Raw genomic sequence first — 22,531 nt, 5'->3', positions numbered from 1 at the left:
CAATCCAATCTCTAGTGTTCATAGTGGGGACTTGCGTAATATGTTGTTAGTAAGGGACAATTTTTCTTTCTCTGCCTCACCCTCTTCATAAATCAGTCTTGCTCTTGGGGACTAGCTCCCAAATAAATAACTTCACTCTTGCTCCCTGAGATGACTTCCTGCTTAAACCACACACACACACATACACATACACACACACATCTTCTCTCAGGCTCTTCTTTGGTGGGAACCAAACTAAGACAATTGGTTTTGGGAGGGATTCTGGAACTGGAGCATTCACCACTGTTGGAGTAAGTGGGGTTTGTGATAAGCCCTAGCATGTGATAGCATCACAATTACCAAGACTCACTTGTGGTAGTTTGGGATGAGGTACAGGTAGACGGAGAAACACTGTGTCATGTGTTAGCTCCAGCAAGTTAATGTTATAAGAACCATGGTAGTTATTAGAATTAGGATTTTTTTTGAGACAGAGTCTCACTCTGTTATCCAGGCTGGAGAGCAGTGGTGCAATCATAGCTCACTTGCAGGCTCAAGCGCTCCTCCTACCTAAGCCTCCTGAAGAGCTGGTGCATGTCACCACACCTGGTTAAAAAAAATTAAAAAAAAAAATCTATTACAAACCCATACCCACCATCATACCGAACGAGCAAAAGCTGGAAGCTTTTTTTTAATTTTTATTTTTTGTAGAGATGGGATTTTGCTATGTTGCTCAGACTAGTCTTGAACTCCTGGGCTCAAGCAATCCTCCAGCCTCAGCCTCCCAAAATGCTGAGATTGCAGGCATGAGCCACTGTGCCTGGCCTGGAGTTTTAAGAATAGGGATAGCTTTTGTTAACTTCCTTGGAAGCCTGGAAGAAATAGAATGATAGGTCCAGGTTAGTCAACTATCAACTTAGGGTTTATTTTGTAAAAGCCAGAAAATATCCATGGCAACATTTAATGAAACGTTAATCTTCTACAACCATTGACACACGGTGTTGAAAATCAGGCCTGAGACTTAATTCTAAGGGTGCAAGAGCTACTAAGGAGGCAGCACATGTAGCTTAGGTAGGTCTCCTATGCTAAATTACAGACCCTGGGAAGGAAAGAGTGAGACCTTGAGTCTTGTTTGAGTGGATGAACATGAGAATTTTGAATCCTCAGACTCCCCGGAATTCACTTGCTGGGGCAGAAGTATCCCTTCCCCTTGCTAGAAATGAGCAACCTCCTTTTGCCTGAAGACCATGCAAACACCCTATGTGAGGAAGAAGTCTCACAAGATGATTTTTGTTGTCCTCCAGAACTACTTCCATGTCTCCCAGTGCCTCCAAAATAGTTAGGATCAGACAATCACTCAAAACCATGTAACTCCATGGAAATTAAACAACATGATTCTGAACAACTGTTGAATAAATAATGAAATCAAGGCAGAAATCAAGAAGTTGTTTGAAACTAATGAGAACAAAGATACAACACACTGAGTGTGGTGGCTCATGCCTGAAATCCCAGCACTTTGGGAGGCCGAGGTGGGAGGATCACTAGAGGTCAGGAGTTCGAGACCAGCTTGGCCAACATGAAACCCCATCTCTACTAAAAATTCAAAAAAGTAGCCAGGCATGGTGGTGGGCACCTGTAATCCCAGCTACTCAGGAGGCTGAGGCAGGAGAATCACTTGAACCCGGGAGGCAGAGATTGCAGTGAGCCAAGATCATGCCACTGCACTCTAGGCTGGGCGATAGGGTGAGACTCAGTCTCAAAAAGAAGATATAACATACCAGAATCTCTGGGCCACAGCTAAGGCAGTATTAAGAGGAAAATTCATAGCACTACATGCTGACATCTGAAAGTTAGAAAGATCTCAAATTAACAACCTACCATCACAAATGAAAGAATTAGAGAAGCAAGAAAGAATCAACGCCAAAACTGGGAGAAGACAAGAAATTACCAAAATCGGAGTTGAACTGAAGGAAATTGAGACACGAAAAACCATTCAAAAGATCAACAAATAGAGGAGTTGATTTAAAAAAAAAATGAATAAGATAGGCCACTAGCTAGCCTAATAAAGAAGAAAAGAGAGAAGATCCAAATAAACACAATTAGAAATGATAAAGGGAATATTACCACTGACCCCACAGAAATAAAAATAACCATCAGAAATTTCTTCAAATACCTCTGTACAAACAAACTAGAAAACTTAGAAGAGATTGATAGATTCCTGGCCATCTACACTGTCCTGAGACAAACAGGAAGAAATTGATGCCCTGAATAGACCAACAATGAGCTCTGAAATTGAGTCAGTAATAAATAGCCTACCAGCCAAAAAAACCCTTGGACCTGATGGGTTCATAGCTGAATTCGACCAGAAGTACAAAGAAGAGCTGGTACTGGTACCATTCCTACTGAAACTGTTCCAAAAAATTGAGGATGAGGGACTCCTTCCTAACTTGTTCTATGAGGCTAACATCATCCTGATAACAAAACTTGGCAGAGATACAACAGAAAAAGAAAATTTCAGGCCAATATCCTTGATGAACATTGATGCAAAAATCCTCAACAAAATTCTGGCAAACTGAGTCCGGCAGCACATCAAAAAGCTTATCCACCATGATCAAGTATGCTTCATCCCCGGGATGCAAGTTTGGCTCAACATACATAAATCAGTAAATGTAATTAATCACATACACAGAACTAAAGACAAAAACTACATGATTATCTCAATAGATGCAGAAAAGGCTTTCAAAAAAATTTAACATCCCTTCATGTTAAAAACTCTCAATAAACTAGGTATTGAAGGAACATACCTGAAAATAATAAGAGCCATCTATTACAAACCCATAGCCACCATCATACTGAATAGACAAAAGTGGGAAGCATTCCCTTTGAAAACTGGCAGAAGACAAGGATGCCGTCTCTCACCACTCCTATTCAACATAGTATTGGAAGTTCTGGCCAGGGCAATTAGGCAAGAGAAAGAAGCAAAGGGCATTCAAATAAGAATAGAATAAGTTAAATCATTCCTGTTTTCAGATTACATAATCCTATATCTAGAAAACTCCATAGTCTTGGCCCAAAAGCATCTTAATCTGAAAGACAACTTCAGTAAAGTCTCAGGATACAAAATTAATGTGCAAAAATCATTAGCATTCCTATACACCAGCAATAGTCAAGCTGAGAGCCAAATCACGAATGCACGCCCATTCACAATTGCCACAAAAAGAACAATATACCTAGGAATACAGCTAACTAGGGAGGTGAAAGATCTCTACAAGGATAACTACAATACACTCCTCAAAGAAATCAGAGACAACACAAATGGAAAAACATTCCATGCTCATGGATAGGAAGAATCAATATCATTAAAATGCCCATACTGCCTAAAGCAATTTATAGATTCAGTGTTATTCCTATTAAACTACCATTGACATTCTTCATAGCATTAGAGAAAACTACTTTAAAATTCATACAGAGCCAGAAAGACAGCCTGAATAGCCAAGGCAATCGTAAGCAAAAAGAACAAAGCCGAAGACATCACGCTACCCGACTTCAAACTATATTCAAACTATACTACAGGGCTACAGTAACCAAAACAGCATGGCACTGGTACAAAAACAGACACACGGGCACCAATGGAACAGAATAAAGAACCCAGAAATAAGACCACACACCAAGAACTATCTGATCTTTGACAGATAGAAACCTCACAAAAACAAGCAATGGGGAAAGGATTCCCTATTCAATAAATTGTGCTGGGATAACTGGAGAGCCATATGCAGGAGATTGAAACTGGACCCCTTCCTTATACCATATACAAAAATGAACTCACTGCTCTTTTTAAACATTGTACTAGGCAGTGAGAAAGGGCAATAAAAAGAACTAAAATGTATACATATTGGAAAGTAAGAAATTAAACCATCTCTATTCATGTTTGTACAGAATCCACAAAATTATCTAAAAAAGGGTTCTAGAACCAGTAATCAAGTTTAGTAAACCCATAGGGTATAAGGTCAACATATTAAAAAGTTTTATTTGTGTATACAAATATATATATAATATTAATATATTAAAATTATATCAAATAGCAATGAACATGTGGAAGTTGAAAAAAATTAAAGTACTCTTTACATAGCACAATATTATTAAATATTTAAGTATAAGTCTTACAAAAATGTGTAAGATCTATGACATGAAACCTGCAACACTGGTTATGGAAATCAAACACTTAAGAAATGGGTAGATACCCAACTTCAAACTATACTACAATCCTGCAACAACCAAAACAGCATGGTACTGGTACAAAAACAGACACACAGACCGATAGAACAGAATAGAGAACTCCGAAATAAGACTGCACACCTACAACCACCTGATTTTCAAAAAACTTGGCAAAAACAAGCAATGGGGAAAGGATTCCTTATTTAATAAATGGTGTTGGGAGAACTGGCTAGCCATATTCGGAAAATTGAAACTGGATCCCTTCCTTACACCTTATACAAAAACTAACTCAAGATGGCTTAAACCCAAAACTATAAAAACCCTAGAAGAAAATCTAGGACATAGGCACAGGCAAAGATTTCATGATGAAAACATCAAAAGCAATGGCAACAAAAGCAAAAAATGACAAATGGGATCTAATTAAACTAAAAAGCTTTTGCACAGCAAAAGAAACTATCATCAGAGCAAACAGACAACCTATAGAATGGGAGAAAACTTTTGCAATCTCTCCTTCTGACAAAAGTCTAATATCTAGCGTCTACAGGGAACTTAAACAAATTTACAAGAAAAAAAACCCATTAAAAAGTGGGCAAAGGACATGAACAGACACTTCTTGAAAGAAGACATACATGCGGTAAACAAACGTGAAAAAAGGCTCAACATCGCTGATCATTAGAGAAAGCAAATTAAAACCACATTGAGATACCATCTCATGCCAGTCAGAATGGCAATTATTAAAAAGTCATGAAACAACAGATACTGGGGAGGCTGTGGAGTGAAAGGAATGCTTTTACACTGTTGGTGGGAATGAAATTAGTTCAACCATTGTGGAAGACAGTGTGGCAATTCCTCAAAGACCTAAAAACAGAAATACCATTTAACCCAGCAATCCCATTACTGAGTATATACCCAAAGGAATATAAATCATTCTATTATAAAGATACATGAATGCGTATATGTTCATTGCATCACTATTCACAATAGCAAAGACATGGAATCAACCCAAATGCTCATCAATGATAGACTGGATAAAGAAATGTGGTAAATATACACCATGGAATACTATGGAATACTATGCAGCCATAAAAAGAAATGAGATCACGTCATTTGCAGGGACATGGATGGAGCTGGAAGCCATTATCCTCAGCAAACTAATGCAGGAACAGAAAACCAAGTACCACATATTCTCACTTATAAGTGGTAGCTGAACAATGAAAACACATGGACACAGGGAGGGGAACAACACACATCGGGGGCTTATAGGGGGTGGGATCAGGGGAGGGAGAGCATCAGGAAAAATAGCTAATGCATGCTGGGCTTAATAACTGGGAGATGGGTTGATATGTGCAGCAAACCACCATGGCCCACATTTACCTATGTAACAAACCTGAGCATCCTGTACACGTACCCCAGAACTTAAAATCAAATAAAAAGAAATGGGTAGATACAACATTTTTACAGATTGGAAAACTCAACACTCTTAAGATGTTGACTCTTCAGCAACTGATCTGGAGAGTTAACAAAATTCTAATAAAAATTCTGACAGAAATTTTTGTGCATGATTTGACAATCTGATTATAAAATTTATGTGTAAAGACAAATACACCCAAAATCAGTTTTGAAAGAGGAGAACAATGTAGAAGGACTAACATTGTCTTGTTTCCAAATTAACTATTAAGTTACAATAATGAGGTAAGTGTAGTATTAGACAAAGGATAGAAATGTAGATGAGTATTGAGGGTATATAATACTATAAAGAGTCCAGAAATAGATCTACTCATGTATCATTCACTGATTATTTATTTATTTATTTATTTATTTATTTATTTATTTATTTTTATTATACTTTAAGTTTTAGGGTACATGTGCACATTGTGCAGGTTAGTTACATATGTATATATGTGCCATGCTGGTGCTGATCATTCACTGATTTTTGACAAAGGTACAGAAGCAATTCAGTGAAGACTAGTCTTCCACAAATGGCGCTGGAAAAATTGGGTTTCCATATGCAGAAGAAATAAAATGTAACCTCAATTTAACATTTAACACTCTACAACGAGTTCAAAGTGGATCACAGGCCTTAATATGTGTGTGAGTGCTAAAGATTCACCACGACATCTGTGGGGTCGTACAAGTCCCAGAAAAGGAGGCAAGGAAGTTATGTAGCAGCAAGGAGCTGAGGTGCTTTCAGTTGCACCCACTAAAGCTAGCTGAAGCCATCGCAGAACTGGTTCCTTCAGCTGTGGCTGAAATACCAGATGAGGCTGAGAGAACCTAAAATAGTGTGTCATAAGTGTCTCCTATAGATCTCAAGGGATGTGTTCTTCTACCAGGTGATGTAACAGTGGCTTCACTGGATTGGAGGTTAAGCCTACCACCCAGTCATTTTTTGGTACTCATGTAAGCCAATATACAAAGAATAGGGTTGTCATTCTGCCTAGTGTGATTGATATTGATTACCAGGGGAAAATTTGGTTGTTCTACACAACTGGAAAAGAGAGGCCCATGTCTAAAATCCTGGAGAATTATTTGGTTGCCACTTAGTATTTCCATGTGCATCAATAAAGTTTAAGAAAAAATATAACAACTTGAGAAAGCAAGGCTTATGGGATGCAGATTTCCTAGGGATGAAAGTTTGCACTGTTACCACTGTGTGGAGAATGTCACCCAGCTGATAATGGCCAAAAGAAAGGGGAACGTAGAACGGGTAGTGGAAGAAAAAAATATAAATGTCCACTGTGGCCTTGTGAGCCATTGTAGGGACAGGAAGAACATGGCATTAGGAGGTAATCTGACATAGGTGGAGAGCGGTTGGCACAATGGTAGTGATGAGTGCTATCAAGTTTTCCTAGAGAGAGAAGGAGATAAAAGTAACTAAGCGGGTGGGAATTTGGGTTTCTTTTTCTGTTTTGGCCTGAGGAAGAATTGAGCATGACCTGAGAGAGCTCATTTTTTCTTCTTTTCATCTCTTTTCTATGTATCTGCTTATGATTGAGTCACAGATGTCTGATCCTGGGGTATTTTTATGGGAAGCTGAGTTTTAGTGAGACGCTACCACCTGGATATCTTTACAAAGCATGTGTCTTTCATAGTGGTTACTCTGCTTAAAGACCATTACCTTTTTGTGTCAATTTATTGTGTAAATGTTATACGTCTAAGATATTTGAGGCCATTCACAGTCTTTTATGGCCATTCTTTTTCAAGTCCCAAAATGTAGGCTGCAGCCACACAGGGCTACTCTCCATTTCCTAAGCAGGCAGTGATTAAGCATCCATCCATGAGCTCCGTCCTCATGATAGCCCTAAATACAGTCAGGTGCGATCAGTGACTGATTACAGTGACAGATGACATGTACGGTAATTAGTTACTGCTGTAGGAGTCTGAGCAAATTTATTCTAGAGAGGTCCAGGGTAATTACTGTGTCTTTAATGAGTTACTCTGGAATCTGGATTCCTCTGGGATGCAGGGTCCCTGAGGCTCAGGGATGGGTAGAAGGGGAGATGTGAGAAGGAGTTGTCCAGACACAGGGGACAACTACAGAGACTGTTACTTTACGTGTCGTAATGGATAAAATGGAGCAGGATGTCAGGTCAGGACTGTGGAGTTACCTTGAGATGCTGGGTGAGTTGGGCAGAAGGGTGAATGAGCTGATTCTTGGTGTCCTTCCAGCCTGAGGGTCTTGATTTCCCAGGTGTAGGATGTTCTGCAGGATATTTTTTCAGTCATAATAACTTTCCTCTTTTCTATGTATTTGCCTCCCACGACTTTCCAACATTCCAGAAGTATTTTAACTAATGTTTTCCAGTTACAGTCATTGGTAATGATAGCACTTACAAATATTTCTTATTGTGCAATATATCCTCACAAGATCCTATCATTTTGGTATAATGACAGCTCTGTGAGGTATGCTTTAATGCAGTCATTCTCAAGCCTTGTTTTGTTTTAAAATTATCTGTGAAGCTTTACAGACAATTTTATGGTTCTCCAGAAGTCAGAACCATAAGCATAGTCTGTCTGTCTGTCTATCTATCTATTAACTAAATATCTATTTATCGTCTCTAATCTATCTCTCTACCTCTAGCTATCTATCATCTATCTATTGTCTATCATCTATCTGTCATCTATCATCATCTATCTATATCTATCTATCTCTAATCTATCTCTCTACCTGTATCTATCTATTATCTATCTATCTATCTATCATCTATCTATCTATCTATCTATCATCTGTCACCTATCGTCATCTACCTATCTCTATCATCTATCATTATCTATCTATCTATCTATCTATCTATCTATCTATCTATCTATCTATCTACCTATCTATATCTATCAAGGCAGAGAGAGAGAGAGATTCTTTTAAGAAATTGGCTCACAAGATTGTGAGCATGGGTAAGTCTGAAATCCACAGGGTAGGTAAGCAGTCTGGAGACCCAGGGAAAGAGTTGATGTTACAGTCTTGAGTCTGAGCAGTCTGAAGGCATAATTCTTTCTTCTTCAGGAGACTGTGGTCTTTTCTCTTAAGGCCTTCAACTAATTCTATGAGGCTTATCACATAATAGGGGGAGTCTGCTTTACTCAAAGTCTACTGATTTAAGCGTAAATCATATTACAAAATACCTTTACCACAACATCTAGAACTGGCATTTGACCAAAACTTGGTACCAGGGCCTAGCCAAGTGATAGACTGGATAAAGAAAATGTGGCACATATACACCATGGAATACTATGCAGCCATAAAAAAGAATGAGTTCATGTCCTTTGCAGGGACATGGATGAAGCTGGAAACCATCATTCTCAGCAAACTAACACAGGAACAGAAAACCAAACACCTCATGTTCTCACTCATAAGTGGGAGTTGAGCAATGAGAACACGTGGACACAGGGAGGGGAACAACACACAGCCGGGCCTGTTGGGGGGTTGGGGGCAAAGGGAGGGAGAGCATTAGGACAAATACCTAATCTGTGTGGGGCTTAAAACCTAGATGTCGGGTTGATGGGTGCAGCAAACCACCATGGCACATGTATACCTATGTAACAAATCTGCACATTCTGCACATGTATCCCAGAACTTAAAAATAAAAAAAATAAAAATTAACCATCACATGGGATATGAATATCTGAGGATGAACTCAAATGAGGGCTTGAGGTTGGAAATTATCCTTCTTCTTTCTGTTTGTCCCAACATTTATAAAATTATTATCATATTTGTTTTTCTCACACCAATTTCAATGACATGATGTAGATTTGAGCATAAGAATGTTTGGTTTGGGTCATTTGTATTTGTGAAAAGAGTAGTATATCTGAGATACCCTAATATTTTCCACGGGCACAAAATTACATTGGTGAAATCAGCAACAGAGTGTCAAAATGTAGTGTTAAATTGCTAAAGGTAATGAGTTCTTATTCCAGGAGGATTTAGTAGAAGTAGTTATTCTAACTTACTGGCCATTTGCTACCTTTTAAGTTGGAGGAATGCACGTTCCAGCCTGAGAGACAGCCAACAGCTATTTAGAAAACATCAGCAATATCTGGGCACCACGCCAAGTGCCGCAACTGTCTTGCTGCAGTTATGAAGGCAGACATGGCCTTTCAGGCACAGAGTTTACAGTCTGGTAAGGAAGTCAGCTGTCAACAGGTAGTCAAAGCATGGAGTGCTATTGGATGAGTATGAGATGCTGCGGAAGCATAGAAGCAGGTCTCACTTGGTTTACAGAGACACAGGGAAGGTTTAGCTGAGCAAGTTACATGTAATAGACCTGAAGGATAAGTGAGAATGAGCCGGATGAAGACAGGGCATAGCGGGGATAGGTGCTAGGTAGGAGGAATAGCAAGTATGAAAGGCTGGAGGCAAGAAATTATGACGTATAAGTCCAGCATTGCTGAAAAGAGGATGCAAGAGTCATTGTGGGGCCAGGTGAGGCTGTGGAGGCAGGTGTTGGTCAGGTAATGAAACATCCTTTGTGCTCTTGAAAGGAATTTTGCCTCTATCTTAAGAACAATGATAATCCACGAAATATTTAATCACAAGAGAGGGATGATCAGATTTTCATCTCAGAATGCCACAGTGTAAATGAAGATTGTTGGAAGAGAAGGTTGTTGAAACACAGGGGCAGGAAGATGAATTGAGAAGCAGTTTCAATAGTCCAGGTAATACAAGATTTCCACCTGGTTTAGGGTTGTGGTAGTTGGGATAAGGAGTGGATGAATTAGAAAGAGAATGAAGTGCAGAATCTGTAGGACTTGCTAGATTGGATATTGACTGTGAGAGAAATGAATTAATGAAATCAAACCTTAGGTTTCTGACTTGAGCCTGGATTCCATTCACCAAACATGAGAGAGTGGAGGAGGATGGAGTTAGAAGAGGAGCAGGGTGAGATCAGAATGTCATTTAGGATCTGTCAAGCCAAAGATGCCTGTGATCCATCCAAGAGATGTTAATCATTGAGACTCAGGATACTAAGTTCTGTATACTAGAGAACGCTACACCTGAACACCTGAGTTGTTTGTTTGTTTCTTTCTTTCTTTCTCTTTCTTTCTTTCTTTCTTTCTTTCTTTCTTTCTTTCTTTCTTTCTCTTTCTTTCTTTCTTTCTTCCTTTCCTTTCCTTCCTTCCTTCCTTCCTTCCTTCCTTCCTTCCTTCCTTCCTTCCTTCCTTCTTTCTTTCTTTCTTTCTTTCTTTCTTTCTTTCTTTCTTTCTTTCTTTTCTTTCTTTGACAGAGTCTTACTCTGTCACCCAGGTTGGAGTACAATGGCACAAACTTGGCTCACTGCAGCCTCTGCCTCCCAGGTTCAAGCAATTCTCCTGCCTCAGCCTCCTGAGTAGCTGAATTACAGGCACCCGCCACCACACCAGGCTAATTTTTGTATTTTTAGTAGAGACAAGGTTTCACCATGTTGGCCAGGCCGGTCTCAAACTCCTAGCCTCAGGTGATCCACCCACCTCAGCCTCCCAAAATGTTGGAATTACAGGTGTGAGCTACTGCGCCCAGCCTACACCTGAGTTTTAAATGGCAATTAAAGCCATTGGAGTAGATGTGTTTTTATTGGCCATTATGCAGAATTATAAAAAAAAAATGAAGTTTAGAAAAATCCCTGAGGAATATCAACATGTAAGATACTGACAGAGGAGGAGCCAACTGCAGTTACTGGTGAGGCAGGTAAGAGAGAAACCAACACACTTTATGTTTCAGAAGTAAATAGATGAGTATTTTAGAAAGGATGGAATATTGTTACATGTTAAAGATAAATGAAGAGAAAAAAGATAAAGTTAAGTCATTTCTGATTATAGAGATTCTAATTATAGATATTTGTGGTATAGAGATGATTATTATAATGTCAGTTAAATAATTTTCGCAGAACACTCAGCAGACCAAGTGTCACAGAAATATCTCCATTTTAAAATTCAGATTTTAAAGGATACTGTTGTTTTTCCATTAAAGATACTGGAGACAGAGCATGATGGGACAAAATCAAACCAGCATCTCAGACTTCCTGCTCCTGGGCCTGCCCATCCAACCAGAGCAGCAAAACCTGTGCTATGCCCTGTTCTTGGCCATGTATCTTACCACCCTCCTGGGGAACCTCCTCATCATTGTCCTCATTCGACTGGACTCCCATCTCCACACGCCTATGTATTTGTTTCTCAGCAACTTGTCCTTCTCTGACCTCTGCTTCTCTTCCGTGACCATTCCCAAGTTGTTACAGAACATGCAGAACCAGGACCCATCCATCCCCTATGCGGACTGCCTGACCCAAATGTACTTCTTCCTGTTATTTGGAGACCTGGAGAGCTTCCTCCTTGTGGCCATGGCCTATGACCGCTATGTGGCCATCTGCTTCCCCCTGCACTACACCGCCATCATGAGCCCCATGCTCTGTCTCGCCCTGGTGGCGCTGTCCTGGGTGCTGACCACCTTCCATGCCATGTTACACACTTTACTCATGGCCAGGTTGTGTTTTTGTGCAGACAATGTGATCCCCCACTTTTTCTGTGATATGTCTGCTCTGCTGAAGCTGGCCTTCTCTGACACTCGAGTTAATGAATGGGTGATATTTATCATGGGAGGGCTCATTCTTGTCATCCCATTCCTACTCATCCTTGGGTCCTATGCAAGAATTGTCTCCTCCATCCTCAAGGTCCCTTCTTCTAAGGGTATCTGCAAGGCCTTCTCTACTTGTGGCTCCCACCTGTCTGTGGTGTCACTGTTCTATGGAACCGTTATTGGTCTCTACTTATGCTCATCAGCTAATAGTTCTACTCTAAAGGACACTGTCATGGCTATGATGTACACTGTGGTGACCCCCATGCTGAACCCCTTCATCTACAGCCTGAGGAACAGAGACATGAAGGGAGCCCTGAGCAGAGTCATTCATCAGAAGAAAACTTTCTTCTCTCTCTGATGATAACACTTGGAGCTATTACATAGTTTATCCAGTAAAATATTGATATTAATATTGGAATATTATTCTAAATTATTTCCTCACCATCCTTTTGTTGAAATGGCATCGTACATAATTTTTCAATATGTAGTGGAGATGAAGCATAGCTGAGTAGTTGAACTAGGGAAGAGGGTCTTGGTGACCTGGCTAAGACTTCCTGTTTGTCTTCCCAAGGTGATCTTGGAAAAATGTAGTTTAAGAACAACTGTTTTAAATGGTCTTCATGCCCCACATTCTTAAATTATCACAGGATTTTGTTATGTTACTCAGAATTTTGCTTTGATTGTAGAATCATTTTTGTTTAATTAAAAAAATTTTTAAATTTTTTGTTTATTTTTATTTTCTATTTCGCACAGGGTCTCACTCTGTTGCCCAGGCTGGAGTGCAGTGGCACAATCGTGGCTCACTGTAACCTCAACCTTCTGGACTCAAGGGATTCTCCTGCCTCAGCCTCCCAAGTAGCTAGGACTACAGGCATGCACCACTACGCCCAGCTAATTTTAAGATTTTTTTGTAGAGATGAGGTCTCCCTAAGTTTCTCAGGCTGGTCTTGAATTCCTGGCCTCAAGTGATCCTCCCACCTTGGACTTTCAAAGTGCTGGGATTACAGGTGTGAGGCACCATGCCTGGCTTGTGGAATCATTTTATTTTTATTTATTTATTTATTTATTTATGAGACTGAGTCTTGCTCTGTCACCCAGGCTGGAGTGCAATGGCATGATCTTGGCTCACTGCAACCCCCGCCTCCTGGGTTCAAGCAATTCTCCTGCCTCAGCCTCCCGAGTAGCTGGGATTACAGGCAAATGCCACCACGTCGGGCTAATTTTTATATTTTTAGAGATGGGGTTTCACCATGTTGGCCAGGCAGGTCTTGAACTCCTGACCTTGTGATCCGCTCACCTAGGCCTTCCAAAGTGCATGGATAGAATCATTTCTAAATAGTGCTCTATAATCTTAGGTTAGTGCTAAATAAGATCTAAACAGCTTAACCTCCCAGCCGCCCTTTGAGTGTCTCCTACATATTCTCCCTGCACAAATTTTCACACCATTTTACCTCTTCTCCCTCCTCCTGATTTATTTTCACATCTCCATAGACTTTTCTCACCTGGTCTGACCTTCAATACATTTTTCTAACACTTTTACTACAACGGTGTATTTCGTCTTTACCTGGAATTAACTAATACCCTGAGGCCCTAAAATTTATTTCACCAGGAAAGAAGCTAGTTGCTGGTAAATTTAAAAAAGCTCAGTTTTAAGGAATGTCTATCTTCTGGCCAGGCGTGATGGCTCACACCTGTAATCCCAGCACTTTGGGAGGCTGAGGCAGGTGGATCACAAGGTCAGGAGATCAAGACCATCCTGGCTAACACGGTAAAACCCTGTCTCTACTAAAAATACAAAAAAATAGCCGGGCGTGGTGGCGGGCACCTGTATCCCAGCTACTCGGGAGGCTGAGGCAGGAGAATGGCGTGAACCTGGGAGGCGGAGCTTGCAGTGAGCCCAGATTGCGCCACTGCACTCGAGCCTGGGTGACAGAGCAAGACTCCTTCTCAAAAATAAATAAATAAAATAAAATAAATAAAAAGAATGTCTCTCTTCTGTTTGGTATTTTGGATGTTACAAAATAACTTCATATTTCTATTTGTATTTTACCCTCATGACAGATCCCAGGAAGTAGAGAAGATGCTAACACTGTGTTACATGCTGAAAAGTACGTAGCTCAGCAACTTTCTACATCACACAGTGTGTCAATTGTTGAGCTTTTATAAAATTCCAGACTATCTGATTCTGCAGTTTATTCTCATTTTCTCTCACTTTAGAAAGAAAGGGAGCAGCCATTCATAGGAGTGTGAATTAGTTCAACCATTGTGGAAGACAGTGTGGCGATTCCTCAAGGATCTAGAACCAGAAATACCATTTGACCCAGCAATCCCATTATTGGGTATATGCCCAAAGGAATATAGATCTTTTTAAAACTCTTAACTCCACTTGTGGCGTAAGTTTCCAACATTGGTCAATTTGTATTCTTTATTATTATTATTATTATTATTATTATTTATTTATTTTTTTTTTAAATAAGTCTCGCTCTGTTGCCCAGGCTGGAGTGCAATGGCATCATCTCGGGTAACTGCAACCTCCGCCTCCTGGGCTCACATGATTCTCCCACCTCTTGGGCTCACGCGATTCTCCCACCTCAGCTTCCCGAGTAGCTGGGACCACAGGCACCCCCCACTCCTGCCCCACCTCTCCACGCCCAGCTAATTTATATATTTTTAGTAGAGATGGAGTTTCACCATGTTGACCAGGGTGGTCTCGAACTCCTGACCTCAAGTGATCTGCCCACCTCGGCCTCCCAAAGTGCTGGGATTACAGGCGTGAGCCACTGCGCCCCACTCAGTTTGTATTCTTAGTTGTGCCCTCTAAGTGATGTGATCCAAGCCCATCACTTTCATCCTTCTGTATGTTCTGCCGACCTCCACAGCTCTATCTGAAGCCCAGCCTTTCTCCAGAACTTCCAACTGTTCTTCTTATCTGCCTAATAGATACCTCTTCTTGAGACTCTATGGGCAGTTCAGTTTCAACACGCACAGCATTAAACTTTTCATGTTCCATCCAAGTCTCTTCTTTGTCATTGATCCCATATTGGTATTTATGATGTCTCCTCCCATCCAGTTACCTGACCAACCACTTCTATATGTGTATATATACCATTTTGAATTTCACCTTTTTCATTTAATATTTCCTGAAATACTTTATTAATCTCCATATGGTCATTAGGGTAACACCAGTTTCTCAGTGCATAATACATCAGAGGTATTAGAGGCAGGAAAAAAGATTGATCTTTAAATCACTTTCCTTTATGCCAGAAAAACCCAATTTAAAAATCAATAAAAAATGGATTTAATTCTTAATAGCAAGTAAAGGTAAGTACAAGAACTAAGGAAGAAACCTTTAAAAATTTAATAAAAGGTATAAAAGATACTACAAGAAATGAACATATATAATGACTCTGGAAAGGGTACCTCAATTTTAACAGTTTTTTAAAGATTAATTTTTATGCAATAAAATCAGTCTAATTAAAACTGTACCACTTAATATGTTTTGAAACCTCAGTACTTTCACAAAAGCAACTCTACTCAAATACATTCAATGCAATCCAAATAAAATTCCCAGTGGAATTATTTTTGTGGAGATGGACAAGTTTATTCTCAAGTTCTCTTGAAAGACAAAAAGGTAAAATTTATAAGAAATATTTGAAAAATAGGAACCATAAATTCGTTCTTTTTCTACCAAGTATCAATACATATTTGAAAAAACCCAATAATTAAAACAGTATGTATTTATTCAGGAATTGACAAAAAAGATCAATTGAGTGAAAAGAACATTAAAAATAGTCCTGTGTATGTGAGGATTTATTTTGTAATTAAGAAAATCAATGGGAGAAGAGATACACTACCAGGGAAATTGACATGGGAAAATATTAAATGAAATTTTTACAGTACAAGTAAATTATATTTTAGATGGCTTAAAAAGCTAAACTTAAACTACAATCTACAAAAATACTCTAATATAAAAAATATTTATAATTTATGCAAAACTCAGAGGATTTATTTTGTGATTAAGAAAATCAATGGGAGAAGGGATATACTACCGGGGAATTGACATGGGAAAATAGTAAATGAAATTTTTACAGTACAAGTAAATTATATTTTAGGTGCCTTAAAAAGCTAAACTTAAATTACAATCTATAAAAATACTCTAATATAAAATAATATTTATAATTTATGCAAAACTCAGAAGCTGTATAAAAATGTTGACATATTTGACCAGATAGAAATAGGAAAGTTTTCTGGGACAAAAGATAACAGAAATTTGAAAAAGAAGTAACAGGCTATAACATGTCTAATAAACACGAGATTGAAATTTAAAATATACAAAGAGCTCCTATAATCTAATAAAAATAAAACACAACTGAATAAAAATGTACAAAGAATATTAACAGAAAATTCATAAAGAATAAACAATATAAGAAGACGTTCAGCTTTAGTGTTAACCAGGAAAAAAACTTGAAAAAGGCTGGGTGCGGTGATTCACACCTGTAATCCCAGCACTTTGGGAGGCTGAGATGGGCGGATCACTCGTGGTCAGGAGTTCAAGATGAGCCTGGTCAATACAGTGAAACCCTGTCTCTACTAAAAATACAAAAATTAGCTGGGCGTGGTGGCACGCACCTATAATCCCAGCTACTCAAAAGGCTGAGGCAAGAAAATTGCTTGAACCCAGGAGGCGGAGGTTGCAGTGAGCTGAGATAGTGCCACTGCACTCCAGCCTGGGCATTGCAGTGAGACTGTGTCTCAAAAACAAAAACAAAACAAAGCAAAGCACAACAAAACAAAACAAACAAACAAAAAAACCGTTGAAAAACAATAAGGGATTATTGAATGACCACATACTTGGAAAATTTAGAAATGATTGACCTTCTATGGTAATAGCAATGATGTGGGAATAGGGGACTTTTATGTCATGTAACCTCTACCCCAATCCAAATCTAGAATAACTCCATCACTTCATAATTCAATGTGTACCCTTGCAATTAAGCTCTTCCTGCCACTAATCTGATTTTTATCTATCTGATTTATATCACTGCAAATGAGATTTGCCTGCTTTGAACTTCACATAAGTGGAATCATTTAGTATGTACTCTTTGTATCTGGCTACTTCAGCTCTGCATAATGTTTTGTAGATTTCATCATGTAATTGTGTAGATCAGTGACTTTTTTATTACTGAGTAGTATTCCATTGTATAAAGACACCGTGATTTGTTCATTCTTTCACTTTTGATAGTTTTGGGGATGTATCCAGTTTTAGACCATGAATTGTTGAAAAATGCTATCATTTTCCCTATTTAATTATCTGGGTAACTTGTAGAAAGTCAGTTGACCATATATAGTTGGATCTATTTTTTTTAACTTTTAAGTTCAGGGGTACATGTGCAGGTTTGTTACACAGGTAAACTTGTATCATGGGGGTTTGTTGTACAGATTATTTCATCTCCAAGATATTAAGCCTAGTACCCATATGTAATTGTGTAGATCAGTGACTTTTTTATTACTGAGTAGTATTCCATTGTATAAAGACACCGTGATTTGTTCATTCTTTCACTTTTGATAGTTTTGGGGATGTATCCAGTTTTAGACCATGAATTGTTGAAAAATGCTATCCTTTTCACTATTTAATTATCTGGGTAACTTGTAGAAAAATAACCCTAGTTATTTTTCCTGATCCTCTCCCTCCTCCCATTCTCTACCTTCCAATAGTCCCCAGTGTGTGTTGCTCCCCTCTGTGTCCAGGTGTTCTCCTATACACCAACAACAGTCAAGCAGAGAGCCAAGTCAGGAATCCACTCCCATTCACAACTGCCACAAAAAGAATAAAATATCTGTGAATACAGCTAACTAGGGAGGTGAATGGTCTTTACAAGGAGAACTACAAACCACTGCTCAGAGAAATCAGAGATGACACAAATGAGCGGAAAAACCTTCCATGTTCATGGATAGGAAGAATAAATATTATTAAAATGGCTATATTGCCCAAAGCAATTTATAGATTCAGTGTTATTCCTATAAACTAAACTAAACATTGACATTCTTCACAGAACTAGAGAAAACGATTTTAAAATTCATATGGAGCCAAAAAAGAGCCCAAATAGTCAAGGCAATCTAAAGCAAAAAGAGCAAAGCTGGAGGCATCACTTCAAACTATACAGCAGGGGTACAGTAACCAAAACAGCGTGGTACTGGTACAAAAACAGACACATAGACCAATAGAAGAGAATACAGAACCCAGAAATAAGATTGCATACCTATAACTATCTGATCTTCAACAAAGCTGTCAAAAACAAGCAATGGTGAAAGAATTCCATATTCAATAAATGGTGCTGGGATAACTGGCTAGCCAAATGTGGAAGATTAAAACTGGACCCCTTCCTTACACCATATACAAAAATTAACTCAAGATGGTTGGTTCTGTTTCTGGATTCTATTCTGTTCTATTGATCCATATGTTTCCTTCTTAACTTATTCTTACTAAAATGTTAAAATCATTCTATCTCTGTCATATCATTTTTTCCTGATATATTTTTTATACCTATATTGTCTTTTCCAACCTGGCCTTACCCTAAAACAATCTTTTTATTTCCTTTATTATAGCAGTGAATTTTGGTCTCTGTAATGCTGTTTGCCTTAAATTCAACTTTGTTATTAAAAGATAAAGCATGCTATCTGCATTTATTACCATAACACATATTTTTCTTTATTATTGTTAAATAAATTTTTACATACCATCCTTTTAATATTATGACTTTTAAATTCTCGAGTTTTTAATTTTGACTAATTCCTTGGTTGGTTGCATTGCATCAAGTCATTTTTAAAGGACTAGTACATCCATGTTATATTTATTGAATTTTCACATATTTTAGATTTTTCTTTTGCATATGTATTTATATATCTGAAGGATGACTTAGCTAGGTATAAAATTTGTGGACATCTGTTCTCTCATCTATAACTCATTTTCTGAAATAGCTGTGAAAAAATCTGAAGTAAGGCTGATATTCTCTCTTTTCTCTACTTCTTATATGGTCATCTTTCCCCCCACTGATGCATGTAGGATTATTTTTTCATCAGTCTATATTTTTGTATTTGCTGACTTTTATTATAATTTTTTATAGCACAAAAGTTTCCTTTTGATTTTCAAGTCTGCACTTGCATTTCTAAACAGTTTTCTGCTATTATATCTGGAACATCATCGTTTCTTTTTTTCCTTATTCTGCACTTTAGTAAGACCAAGAATTTTGTAGCAAGTTTGAAGTTTATATGCCACAATCAATATACACGAAATGAGAGATTTGTTTTTAAAAATAAAAATGGAAAACAAAATTTATAATATTATAATTATGTAAATATTACCACTTCAGAAGCAAGATGTATGATTGAACTCATAGATTTAAAAAAAAATCCTACATTATTAAACCTGTGATAGTCAGAGCAAAGGTTACAAGCTTAATGTCAAATTAGTTTCCCTTTCTCACACTCCATAAATTTCTCAAATCAGGCCACATTCCATTTGCTCATTTTTGTAGCATATGTCAATTTCTCTCTGTTCCTCCCTCCCTCCCTCTCTTTCTTATTTATACTCTCCCCAACCCTATTTCTTTCTTTTTTATTCTTTTTTAATGGCTGAGCCTCTTGAGATAATGTTCAGACATCAAGACACTTCATCACTATATAATTTAGAGTTCTGAATCTCCTCAAAAGAACATTCTCGTATGTAACTACAATGTCGTTGTTATGTACGAGTCATTCAGTGCTGCTAGCAGAGACTTAGATGGTAGGTCCAGGGCAAGCAATCCACTGCTGAGTTCAGAGGCACTGAAGCTGTTTGAAGCATTGAAGAATCCTCGCTGGGAGCAGTGTACATTATACCTGGTATTATAGTTGATAAAGAATAAAGGGAGAGCAAAATCTTTTAATAGGATTACCTAGGGGTCCTATAATTTCCATTTTATTGCCATTTAGAGAATTAAAGAATGTTCTCATCCAGAGAGAGGATAAGATACAGCCTTGGCTGACTCTAACACATTTTGTTAAAGATGTAGCTTTTTATTTTATTCTGAGCTTTGATCAGGAACTGGTATTGATTTTTTAAGAAGCCTTTTTGCCTCTGATGAGGTAATCCTAAATGTTTAAATTGAACATATTAGTGTGATTTCAAATATGAAAAGATGGGATTATTTGTGCTTTAGACATCATTTTGATATCAATTTTCACAGATAGAACTGGTCTATAATTGTATTCGTGTCTTGTATTTTTCTTCTTTAGTAAATTAGCTATTTTAATTTTACTTAATTTTTGGTTCTGGAATGAATTATATAGAGCCTGGGGATTATTCCTTGAGCGTCTGAAAAGGGGAGTATTTGGTCCTTGAAATTTTGAAAAACCCAGAAAGCTTCCTCACCCAAGGATTTTTTTACTGTAATATAATTTAAATATAGTGCACGAATCTTAAGTGTACAGCTTGCTGAATTTGACACCCGTGTGACCACTGTACAGATCAAGATACAGAGGATTTATGTCACTTCAGAAATTTTCCTTGTGCCCCCTCCTCGTGAGTCCCCACCCACATCCAGAGGTAATGACTACTCTGGTTTCTACTGCCAGAGAGAAATTTGCCAGCTCATGAACTTTGAATAGATGGAATCATACAATATTTTTTTTTCTGGATTCTTTTACTCATCATAATGTTTTAAAGATTTATCTATGTCGTGTGAATCATCAGAGTTCAATCTTTTTCACTGCTACATAGTACACCATTGAAATGATTATGCCACCGTACTTATTCTTTCTGCTGATGAACATTTGGGTTTTTCAGTTTTAGCTACTATGACTGAAGCCTCTGTGAGAATTCTAATACACATCTTTTGTTTTCATTTATTTTGGGTACTTCAGGAGCAAAATTTCTGGGCTGTAGGCTGGGTAAATATTAAAACTTTGGGCACTGCAAATAGTTTGCAGAACAGTTTTATTCTTTTACATTCTTACTAGCAATATATGAGGGTGTTAATTTCTCCACATCCTTGCTAACATTTGATACTATCAATCTTTTGTTTCTAGCTATTCTGATGGGTATGTAGTAGTATCTTACGATTTTAATTTGTATTTCCCTGATGAATAATAATGTTGAATATGTTTTCATATGCTTGTCGGCTTCGAGACTTTCATTAGAGATAATTTTTTGGCTTATTTTATATTATTAGTCTAAGTTTTCCCTCCTCAAATATTTATTTTAATGGTCTAGTCAGACATTGTATATATTGAGCCAGGTTTTGCAGTTTGTCTTTGCGTAGAAGTCTTATTTTGATTTTTAAATTTACTTGAGAAGTTTTAGAAAGATTTAAAAAATCTTCCTTTGTGATTATATTCTTTTTAAAAGTGCTTGCCATGTAACAGTTCCTCACTAAATGTTAGCTTTATTTTTATTTTTTTTGAGACAGAGTCTCACTCTGTCGCCTAGGCTGGAATGCAGTGGTACAATCTCGGTTCACTGCAACCTCCACCACCTTGCGGGTTGAAGTGATTCTCCTGCCTCAACCTCCCCAGTAGCTGGGATTACAGGCGCCCTTCACCACACTCAGCTAATTTTTGTATTTTTAGTAGAGACAGGGTTTCACCATGTTGGCCAGGCTGCTCTTGAACTTCTGACCTCAGGTGATCCACCTGCCTCGGCCTCCCAAAGTTCTGGGATTACAGGCGTGAGCCACCATGCCCGACCAGCTTTTATTATTTTTATTGCAAGAATTTCCATTACAACCTTGCAATAGTGAAAAATTAGAAAAACATAAATATTTATTAATAAGGGAGTGATTAAACTGTGGAAGATCCACAGTATAGGATTGTATAGCATGAAGTTAAGAATGAAGGCATTCTATTTGTGGTAATAAGACAAGATCTTCTAGATGTATTGTTTCATAAAAAAAGGAAACTGAAGAATAATAGATATAAATAGAATGACACTATTTATGTTTCAAGATCAGAATAATATATATAAATAGAATGACACTATTTGTTTCAAAATCAGAGCGAGAGAGCAAGAGTGAAGGTGAGAGCAAGAGTGAAGGTGAGAGCAAGAGATTCAACTGATAATTGGGATGGCGGTAGAGGTTGATTTGGGTGGTAGTCAAACAGAACTTCAACTCTGAATTTTTACATTAAAAATGGTTGATACAGTATCTAGGAAAAGAATTTAAATTATTTTAAGCCACTTAAAAAATAACTGGATCTTGAAGTTTCTCCAGGAGGAGTCTGCAGGGGCATCCAACAACAAACACCTCTTTAAGATCCTCC

The 22,531-nt window shown here is 38.0% G+C and overlaps 1 protein-coding gene across 1 annotated transcript; it reads left to right on the top strand.

Annotated features, from left to right (window-relative positions):
* Positions 1-11,648: 11,648 nt before the first annotated feature.
* OR1E1 (olfactory receptor family 1 subfamily E member 1) lies at positions 11,649-12,955 on the top strand. The gene has a single exon (NM_003553.3). The coding sequence runs from the start codon at positions 11,649-11,651 to the stop codon at positions 12,591-12,593; it is 945 nt and encodes a 314-aa protein (NP_003544.2). The 3' UTR covers positions 12,594-12,955.
* The last annotated feature ends 9,576 nt before the right edge of the window (positions 12,956-22,531 follow it).

The sequence above is a fragment of the Homo sapiens genome, chromosome 17, assembly GCF_000001405.40.
Source record: "Homo sapiens chromosome 17, GRCh38.p14 Primary Assembly".
NCBI lineage: Eukaryota > Metazoa > Chordata > Mammalia > Primates > Hominidae > Homo > Homo sapiens.
This window is presented reverse-complemented; position numbering and strand designations above follow the sequence as displayed.

Coding starts and splice junctions, on each gene's coding strand:
- OR1E1 (NM_003553.3), top strand. CDS start 11,649: ATGATGGGACAAAATCAAACCAGCATCTCAGACTTCCTGCTCCTGGGC.